Raw genomic sequence first — 11585 nt, 5'->3', positions numbered from 1 at the left:
AAAGATTTGACTTACTGCATAGTGACTTAAATTTTTTCACAACATCATAGTGAAAGCTGTTTTATTAACATAACTTATCAGCATGAGAGTTTTGACCTGCTCTGTTTTTGACCTGTGCTGGTTTACCCCTCCTTAGGCAACTTGGTGATCCCCTGCTCTCAGGAGGTTACCATATTGATGCTGAACTTAGTGTAGACACTCAATTTGAATAGTGCACTGTAGCAGAATTCCTGGGCTCAAGCAATTCTCCTACCTCAGCCTCCTGAGTAGTTTGGACTTCAGGCACACAGTACTGCATCCAGCAAATATAATTTGTCAAATGATGAAATAGAAAAATGAAAAGTTTCAAATGAAGGGACAAAATTGCATTGTTTGTTTAAGAAGGTATTATAAGGTGACGTCCCCGTAACTATCACTCACATCAAGAGATAAAACATTGCTAGCTACACCAGAACCTCTTCATTTACCCCATTTCAATGTTCAACCCTTCCTAAACTTCAAAAGTAACTACTACTTGGAATTTCATAGTAATCACTTCCTTGACTTTTCAAATAATTTTATCCTTATGTGCATCCATAAACACTGTATTTTATTCTTATTGTTAAGAAAAACTAAAGTGAATGTAAGAACAAATAAAATATAAAATATACAATTCATTATGGCAATCTTCCCTTTCTAATTATGGGCTTGGATGTCATGCCTGGCAATTATTTTCTTACTTTGATCATATATATACATATATATATATATACTTGTGTGTGTATGTATGTATATATATGTATATATACATACACACGTATATATAAATGTGTATATATGTATATGTATACATATGTATGTATATATGTATATGTATACACATGTATGTGTATATGTATATGTATACACGTGTATGTGTATATGTATATGTATACGCGTGTATGTGTATATGTATATGTATACATATGTATGTGTATATGTATATGTATACATATGTATGTGTATATATACATGTATATATACATGTATATACACACACACATATGTATATATATAAAATAAATATATTGTTACCTTGAGTTGTAGATGATCTTAGAAATGAGACACCAGTTTTTGTTGATTTTTTTCAGTGTTAACTAAGTTTTAAATTGACAATGTCAAGAACCAGACAGAAACTGAAAGTTAGTGTGCGGATCTGCCAAAGCCATAGTGGCATAAAATAATGTTACTCTTTATACATTGTTAAAATATGAAAAATCAAACCCAAATGCATAATAGAATAAATGCCAGGAAAATAGGCATGAACAGGTGTGTCCAAGGCATACCAAGATGTTTGATAATTCTAATTATAAAATATAGGTGAAATATAATGTGTTTAGCTTTAGAAAAGAAATTGAATTGAGCAAGAGAAACAAATAAATATTCTTGCAGAACAGTTAAGGCTGCTTAATAAGGATTTTAAGTTAAAAATTGATACATAACATAGAGGTACATTTTTCCGTGTCAAGTTCTAAAGAGTAAAGGGGAACAAATGCTTCCTGATTAAGGTTTTCTCAAAGGAAACAAAGCAGAACAGGAATGAATTGTTTTCCTGGTATTACTCTAAAAGCTAATAGGACAATAGCTATCCTATGGAGAAAAAGGAACCCTTGTACATTGTTGGTGGGAAGGCAAATTGGTAAAGCCTTTTGGAAAACATTACAGGGGTTCCGCAAAAAAATTAAGATTAGAACTACCCATGATCTATCAATTCCTCTTCTGCATAAATATCCAAAATAATTGAAAGCAGAGCCTTGAAGAAGTGGCTGCACTACCATGTCCATTGCAGCGATCTTCACAATAGCCGTGATGTGGAACCACTTAAGTGTCAATGGATGGATAGATGGATAAAGAAATAGTGACTGACACACACACACAAACACACATACAAATGCATACACACACATATAATGGAATATGGCTTAGCTTTAAAAAAGAAAAAGATCCTCCTATTTGAAACAACATGGATGAAACTGGAGGACATTATAATAAGTTAAATAAGCCAGATGCAGAAGGAAAAATACTAAATGATGCCACTTTTATGAGTTATCTGTAATAGTAAAACTCATAGAAGCAGAAACACAATAGACCAGCAGCTGGGGGCATGGGGAAATGTTGGTCAAAAGGTACAAAGTTCTGATTATGTAGGATAAGCACGTTTTAGAGATCTAATGCATAGCATGGAGATTACACTTAATAATACTGTGTTGAATAGTGGAGTACTTCATTATATTATGCTTCATTTTATTGTACTTTGCAGATATTGCATGTTTTGCAAATTAAAGGTTTGTGACAACCCTGCATTAAGCAAGTCTATGGGCAATATTTTTCCAACAGCATAAGCTTTACTTCATGTCTTTTTGTCACATTTTGGTAATTCTCATAATAATTCAAACTTTTTCATTTTTATCATACCTGCTATGGTGATCTGTGATCAGTAGTCTTTGATGTTATTATTGTAATTGTTTTGGGGTGCCTCAAACCACACCCACATATGATGACAAGCTTAATAAATACATGTTGTGTGTTTTCTACCTGTTCCTCTCACCAAGCATTCCCTCATCTCTCTCCTCCTCAGTCCTCCCTATTTCCTGGGACAAAGCAATATTGAAATTAGGCCAATTTAGAACCCTGCAATGGCCTCTAAGTTTTCAAGAGAAAGAAAGAGTTATATATCTCTCAAGTTAAATCAAAAGCTATTATAAAAATCATTAAGGTTTGTGTGGAAGACATATCAAAAGCCAAGGTAGGCCAAAATGTAAGCCTCTTGTGCTAAAACACACACACACACACACACACACTCACACACACTCACACATGGCAACTATGTGAAAAGATGAATATATTAATTAGCTTGACCTTAGATATCTGTTCACTGTATAGATTTATATCAAAACTTCATGCTGTACACCTTAAACATATAAAATTTTAATTTTTTGAATAAGCTAATAGTGAAATAAATCTTCTCAAAACTGTAATTATGTAAACCAGTGTTTGTGTGACTCTATATTTACTCTCAAAAAGAGAAGTAAAGAGATCATGTAAAAAATAAGGTTTAACATTTAGTTATGATGATTCTACATCATTTCAGCAGTAGCCGGAAATAAGATAAAATACTTGGGTTTTAAAAAAAATAACGGAAAATGCCTGAAACTGCTATCTAGTACTGATAACAATATAACAACTTACACTACAATCAGTTAACATGCACTTACTTGTGCCAGGTACTGTGCTAAGCACCTTATTAGCATTATGTTATTAAATCCTCATAGGAATCAATGAGGCAGTGTATAAAACTGAGAAACTTTAAAAGGATGGCTGCTTTACTTAGGAAATCAATGAAAGGCAGCATGATGATGTATTCTAAAAATGAGAACAATAGCTGTAATCAAGAAATTAATTCAATAATGCTTCTTTAACCCTTTCCAGTAAATAAGAATTGGGTTATTCTACTTGTTTAGGATAGCAAATGGCCCATGAAAACCAGGACTCTATATAAATTTTGGAAACAACTTGTGGAGCTTGAGGGTGGAGGAATATATTGCCAGCGACAAATGAGAGCAATAGAGTTGAGATAAAATTAATGAGGACGGCCTTGCTTCAGGCCCTTTTCTGTCCTGCAATTCCTTTTCGCCAGGTGTCATTATGACCTATCCCAAAGATAGCATAATCTTATGAAAAAGTCTACTCATTTCCGATTTCCATGGATACACAGACTACCAATGTCTTTTTAAGTTACTAGTCTGAAACTCCACAAAAACCTTTCATTAATGCTGATGCTGAAATTTTGAAAAGATAGCAGAGAGATTGACTTTAAGCTATTAAATAATTTGGCTTAGCTTCACTGAAGCAAAAATATAAAAGCTCTAAAGTTCCATGTGGGTTTGTTCACTTCTGTCTTGATATAGCACAGAAATATGATAGAAAGCTATTTAGAAATTATTGTGCCTAGGGAACATTAGTTGACCTACAAAAGTTATTTCCAGTACTTTGTAACTTTTGATTCCTAAGATTTGACAAGTATGTGGCTGAATTTATTAATAAACTCAGAAAATATTTATTAGCACCTACTTAGAGCCACGGAGTGTGTTGGTGCTGTAGGGCAGGGAACTGCAATGCATACTGCAACTTCAGTGACAATATGCCCTTCTGGAAATTGTGTCAGTGTTTGGTGTCACCGATCAGAAATGTTAAGAAAAATACTACTTCTGGGTAACACTTGACATGAATGCAGTATGATAGAAGTTTTAGTTTGAAGAGATTTTTTTCTCTGGGTCATTCAGTTTCTCCAGAGCAAAAATCTTCCATATTTTACTTGGATCTAGCTGGGGTGGGGATTGTGATTTGCCTGTATGGCAATCTTCCTTTAAGGTAGTGAGGATCAGTGAGGAGGTTACTGGGAGTCCACAGTTACTAATGAATGTTTTCATAAAATCTCTCCTTATTTCAGTCCCTACCTCCCCTCTTCTTTCCCCTGTGCTTGGGGATCTCAAATCTCTGCTTCATTTGCTTTACAGAGTAAAACATCTGTCTTCCACAGCACTGAGGAAGAGGAACAGTCATCTCTTGCATGAGGGCTCTGTAGGGCTGAATACTCTCTAGATAGGCACTAATCTAGAGAGTGACAATTAAATTTCCAAATGGAGAATAGTTTCAGCACAGAGAGAACTGCATTGAACTCCTGGCATATAAAGCTCAAGTGGAAGGGCTTCCTGTACCACAGCCTCTAGTCACGTAGCATCCTTTCTTCACCTGGGTTCAATCAGAACCTAAAGTTGGCTGGGCGCGGTGGCTCATGCTGTAATCCCAGCACTTCGGGAGTTCAAGGCAGGCCGATTGTTTGAGCCCAGGGGTTTGAGACAAGCCTGGGCACACATAGTGAGACCCCATGCCCATGAAAAAACACAAAATTAGCCAATCATAGTGGTGCACACCTGTAGTCCCAGCTACTTGGGAGGTTAGTGTGGAGGATCACTTGAGCTCATGAGGTCCAGGCTGCAGTGAGCTGTGAGCACATGACTGCACTCCAGCCTGGGTGACAGAATAAGACCCTGTGTCAAAAAAAAAAAAAAAAAAAAAGAAAGAAAGAAAAGAAAAGAAAGAAAGAAAGAAAATGAGAAGTCTTGCTAGTTGTATAATGAAATATAGATAGTTGCATCCAAAATCCAAAAATCAGTGTAACAGATGCATAGATAGGTACAAAATCTTAAATGCATAACCCATTAATTTATACAGCACTAGTAAATGGCATTATATCATTTTCCAAAAACTCCAGAATATGCCTTTCGTGTGGTCCTGCTTCCCCAGAGATAACCACTACTTTGACTTTTATTGGCCATTGGCACATTGTATTTTTATGAAATGCCTGTGCAAGTCTTTTTGCCTTTTATTATGTTGTTGCTCTTTTCCTTATAGGTTTGCAGAAGTTGTTTATATATATATTCTGCACAATGTATTTTTAGATACATGTAATGTAAATATCATCTTTCAGTATTTTACTTCCTTATTCACTCTTTGATATGATTTGGATTTGTGTCCTTGCCCAAATCTCATGTCCAATCGTAATCCCCAGTGTTGGAGGAGGAGTCTGGTGGGAGGTGATTGAATCAAGGGGGTGGATCTAGTGATAGTCAGTGACTTCTCATGAGATCTGTGTTTAAAAGTGTGTAGCACCTCCCCCTTCTCTTTCTTCCTCCTGCCACAGCCTTGGAAGACATACCTACTTTCACTTCTGCCATGGTTGTAAGTTTCCTAAGGCCTCCTCAGCCATGCCTCCTGTAAAGCCTGCAGAACCATGAGCCAATTAAACTTTTTTCTTTATAAATTACCCAGTCTCAGAAATTTCTTTATAGTGGCGCAAGAATGGACTAATGCACTCTCATAATAGTATTTTTCAATGACTAGAAGTTCTTAATTTATGTTATGCCAAAATATATTTTCCTTAAATTTTTGTATCCTTTAATTTTTTTTTTCTTATGGAAAGGTTATGAAGGTATTTTCACAAGTTTCCTTCTGGAAGTTTCATTGTTTCAGTTTGCATTTGGAGGACATTTACATGTTATCAATACTTTCTCAATTCATGGACAAGATATATTTCTTCATTAATTTGACTACATTTTCTTTATCTATCAATGAATACTTGTTTTTTTTCTATATCTTTGTCCTTATGAATAATGCTACAGAACATGAGAGTGTAGATATCTATTCCAGATCTTGACTTCAATTATTTTAAATATATATAGATAAGTGAAGTTTCTGAGTTATATGGTAATCATAGTTTTAATTTTTTCAGGAAACTGCATACTGTTTTTCATAGATGCTGTACCATTGTACATTTCCACTGACAGTGTATAAGTGTTCCAATTTTTCTGCATTCCTGCTGGCACTTATCCTTTTTTTTAATTAGTGTAGATATCCTGTCAGGTGCAAAGTGATATGTAATTAGTTTTGATTTGCATTTCTCTAATAATTAATGATGTTGGGCATCTTGTCATATGCCAACTGGTCATTGCAAATCATATATTTGATAATAGGTTAATTTCCAAAATATATTAGAAACTGTTACAACCCAATAGCAAATAATAATAATAATAATAACCTGATTAAAAATAGGGCAAAGAACTTGAACAGACATTTTTCCAAAGAAGATATACAAATGGACTTCTTTTTTTCTCAGCAATGTTTGTAGGTTTCTGAATAGAGGGGTTTTAGTTTTTGGTTAGAATTATTTCTCAATATTTAACTTTGGTGCTATTATAAGCTATATATTTAAAAATCAGGTTCTGATTGTTTATTGCTAGTGTATAGAAGCACAATATATTTGTATATTTTCCCTTTTATTTATATATAATAATTTTCATATTATATATGAATATATTTATGTGTGTATATATATATCAACATATACATGTGAATGTTGTATAGAATGTGTAATAATCAAGTCAGGTTATTTGAAGTATCCATCATTTTGAGTGTTTATCATTTTTATGTGATGGTATCATTTAAAATCCTCTCTTCTAGTTACTTGGAAATATACATAATATTTTTGCTAAGTTTAGTCACCCTAGTCTGCTATCAAACATTAAAAAAAACTTCTTCTAGTTAACTGTATGTTTGTACTCATAATAAACCTCTCTTTATCCCCCTCCCCAGCCTTGCCCAGACTCTGGTATCTGGCATTCTATTCCCTATGTTCATGAGATTAAGATTTTTAGTTCCTACCTATGAGTGAGTATGTATGGTATTTGTCTTTCTGTGCCTGACTTATTTCACTTAACATAATAATCTCCAGTTTCATCTACATTGCTGCAAATGACATCATGATTTCATTCTTTTATATAGCTGAATAGTATTCCACTATGTGTGTGCATAACATATTCTCTTTATTCATTCATCCATTGATAGGCTTTCTGTTTTCCCCATTCATTATAATGCCAGCTGTGGGTCATTGCATATGGCTTTTATTATGTTGAGGTATGTTCCTTGTATCCCCAGTATTTTAGGGTTTTTATAATAAAGAGATGTTGAATTTCATCAAATGCTTATTCAGCATCAATTAAAATTATCACATGGTTTTTGTCCTTCATTTTGTTAATATGTCACATTGATTGATATGCATATGTTGAATCATCCTTGCATCCCAGGGATAAAGCTTACTTGATCATGAAGAATGATCTTTTTAATGTATTGTTGCTTTTGATTTGCTAGTATTTTGTTGAGGATTATTACATCAATGTTCATCAGTGATATTGGCTTGTACTTTCCTTCCTTCCTTCCTTCTTTCGTTTCTTTCTTTCTTTCTTTCTTTCTTTCTTTTTCTTTCTTTCTTTCTTTCTTTCCTTCCTTCCTTCCTTCCTTCCTTCCTTCCTTCTTTCTTTCTTTCTTTCTTCCTTTCTTCCTTTCTGTGTCTTTGTCTGCATTTGGTATCAGAGTAATACTGGCCTTGTAGAATGAGTTTGATTTTGAAAGTATTCCTTCCTCCTCTATCTTTTGGAATAATTTGAGTAGGATTTGTATTAAATCTTTTTTAAATGTATGGTAGAATCTGCCATGAAGCCATAAGGTCCCAGGGTTTTCTTTAGTGGGACACTTTATTACAGCTTTAATATTGTTACTTGTCATTGGTCTGCTGAGGTCTTGGATTTCTTCATGATTCAATCTTTGTGTATTGTGTGTGTCTAGGAATTTATCCATTTCCTCTAGGTTTTTTAATTCATTGGATATAGTTGCTCATAGTAACCACTAATGATCCTTTGAGTTTCTGCAGTATTGGTTATAATGTCTCCTTTTATATCTCTGATTTATTTATTTTGGTCTCTCCCTTTTTTTCTTCATTAGTCTGGCTAAGGGTTTGTGAATTTTGTTTATCTTTTAAAAAAACTTTATGTTTTATTGATCTTTTGTATTGTTTACTTCATTTCACATTCATTTATTTCTACTCTGATCTTTATGATTTCTTCTACTAATTTTGTGTTTGGTTTGCTCTTGTCATCTAGTTCTTCAAAATTCATCATTAGGTTATTTATGTAAAGTTTTTCTCCTTTTTTCATACAGGCACTTATAGCTATACATATTCCTTTTAGTACTGCTTCCACTGTATCCCTTAGGTATTGGTATTTTGTGTTTCCATTGTCATTTGTTTCAAGAAACTTTTCAGTTCCCTTCTTAATTACTTTTTGTCCCACTGGTCATCGAGGAGCATATTGTTTAATTCCCATGTGCTTGTATAATTTCCAAAATTACTGTTGTTGTTTCTGGTTTTATTACACTCTGGTCAGAGAAGATGTTTCATATTATTTCAATTTTTTTGAAATAAAGTTTTAAAACACAAAATTTTTTTCAAGACTTGTTTTGTGACCTAATATATGGTCTATCCTTGAGCATGATCTATGTGCTAAGGAAGATAATGTGTATTCTATAGCTGTTGAATAAAATTACCTGTAAATATCTTAGTTCCATTTGTTCAATAGTGCAGATTAAGTTTGATGTTTCTTTGTTGATTTGCTGTCTGGAAGATCTGTCCAATGCCAACATGGGGTGTTGAAGTCTCCAGCTATTATTTTATTGAGTTCTCTCTCTCTCTGTCTCTCTCCTAGCTCTAGCTCTAATATTTTCTTTACATAGCTGGGTGCTCCAGTGTTGGGTGCATATATATTTACAATCTTTATATCCTCTTGCTGAATTGACTCCTTTATTATTGGATAATGATCTTCTTTGTCTCTTCTTACAGTTTTTGTCTTAAAATCCATTTTTTTATGATATAAGTATAGCTACTCTTGCTCTTTTTTGGTTTCCATTAGCATGGAATATCTTCTCCCACTCCTTTATTTTCAATGTATGTGTATCTTCATTGGTGAAGTGTTTCTTGTAAGCAACATATCATTGGATCTTGTTTTTTTAATTAATTCAGCCACTCCATGTCTTTTGATTGGGGAGTTTAGTGCATTTACATTCAATATTATTATTGATAAGTAAGGACTAACTCCTGGCATTTTGTAATTTGTTTCCTGCTTGTTTTTGCAGTTTTCTCATCCTTTTTTCCTTTCTCCCTGCCTTCATTTTAATGAAGATGATGTTCTCTGGTGTTATGATTTAACTTCTTGCTTTTTATTTTATGTGTATTCATTGTATTTTTTTTTGTATTTGAGGTTACCATGAAGCTTGCAAATACTATCCTATAGCTCATTATTTTCAACTAATAACAGCTTAACATTGTTTGCATAAACTAACAAGCAAAAAGAAAAAAACAAAAACTCTAAACTTTAACTTCCTCCCCAATTTTTAAGTTTTTATTGTTTCTCTTTATGTTTTATTGTACTGAGTCTTGAAAATTTGTTTTTGTTATTGTTTTTGATTGGTTCATCATTTAGTCTTTCTACTTAAGAGTAGTTTGCAAATCACAATTACGGTGTTATAATATTCTGCATTTTTCTGTGTGCTTACTATTTCCATTGAATTCTGTACCTTCAGAGGATCTCTTCGTGCTTATTAACATCCTTTCTTTCTGATTAAAGAACTGCCTTTAGCATTTCTTCTAGGAGAGGTCTGATGTTGACAAAATACCCCAGCTTTTGTTTATCAGGGAAGATCTTTATTTCTTCTTCATGCTTAAAGGATATTTTTGGCTGGATGTACTATTCAAGGGTAAAAGTTTTTCCTTCAGTACTTTAAATATGTCATGCCACTCTCTCCCGGCATGTAAGATTTCCACTGAAATATCTGCTTCCAGATGTATTAGAGTTCCACTCTATGTTGTTTATTTCTTTTATCTTGCTACTTTTAAGATCCTTTCTTTATCCTTGACCTTTGGGAGTATGATGATTAAATACCTTGAGGTACTCTTTGGGTTAAATCTATAACATTCTTGTACTTAAATTTTGATATGTTTCCCCAGGTTTGGGAAGTTCTCTGATATTTTTCCTTTAAATAAATTTTCTACCTCCATCTCTTTTTCTCCCTCCTCTTTAAAGCCAGTAACTTTTGCCCTTTTAAGGCTGTTTTCTAGATCTTATAGGTGTGCTTCCTTCTTGTTCATTCTTTTTTCTTTTTTCTACTCTGACTGTGTAATTTCAGAATGTAAGTGTAAGTAGCCTGTCTTCAAGCTCACTAATTATCTCTTCTGCTTCATTGATTATGCTATTAAGCAATTGATGCATTTTTCAGTATGTCAACTGCAATTTTCAACTGTAGAATTTCTACTTGATTATTTTTATTTTAATCTGTTTGTTAAATTTGTTGAATAGAATTCTGAATTCTTGGTCTGTGTTATGAATTTCTTAAGGTTTCCTCAAAGTAGTTATTTTGACTTCTACGTTTGAAAAATCACATGTCTCTCTTTCTCCAGGACTGGTCTCTGGTGCCTGATTTAGTTTATTTCATTAGGTCATGTTTTCCTGGATGATTCTGGTGCTTGTATATGCTTGTTGGTGCCTGGGCATTGAAGAGTCAGGTATTTATTGTACTCTTCACAGTCTGGGCTCATTTGTGCCCATCCTTCTTGAGAAGGCTTTCCAGGTATTTGAAGAAACTTGGGCCCTAAACCCATTGTGGTTTTTTTTTTTTTTTTTTTTTGGCAGACTTATACAAGTAACACTTTTGATGTCTTAGATGAGATTTTGAAGAACTCTGTAGATTACCAGGCGGAGACTCTTGTTCTTTCCCTTGCTTTCTTCCGAACAAATGGAATCTTTCTCTGTGCTGAACCACCTGGAACTGGGGGTGTGGTGATGCAAGCACCCCTGTGGCCACCACCACTGGAACTATAATGGTTCAGGTCTGAAACCAGCATAGCACTGGGTCTTATCCAATGCCCACTGTAACCACTACTTGGCTACCACACGTGTTCACTCAAGGCCCTAGTGCTCTAGGATCAGCAGGTAGTGAATCCAGTCAGGTTTATGCCCTCCTCTCCAGGGTGGCAACTTCCCCTAGACCCTAGGCAGGTCCAGAGATACTGTCTTTGAGCCAGGAATTGAAGCCAAAAACCTTGGAAATTTACCTGGTGCTCCATTCTACTGTGGCTAAGTTGGCACTCAAACCACAATACAAAGCACTTCCTGTCCTTATCT

At 34.1% G+C, this 11585-nt stretch overlaps 1 pseudogene; it reads right to left on the bottom strand.

Annotated features, from left to right (window-relative positions):
• Positions 1–303, bottom strand: RN7SL283P (RNA, 7SL, cytoplasmic 283, pseudogene; annotated as a pseudogene).

The sequence above is a fragment of the Homo sapiens genome, chromosome 2, assembly GCF_000001405.40.
Source record: "Homo sapiens chromosome 2, GRCh38.p14 Primary Assembly".
In the NCBI taxonomy this organism is placed as follows: domain Eukaryota; kingdom Metazoa; phylum Chordata; class Mammalia; order Primates; family Hominidae; genus Homo; species Homo sapiens.
The sequence above is the reverse complement of the archived record's forward strand: the minus strand, read 5'-3'. Positions and strand labels throughout refer to the sequence as shown.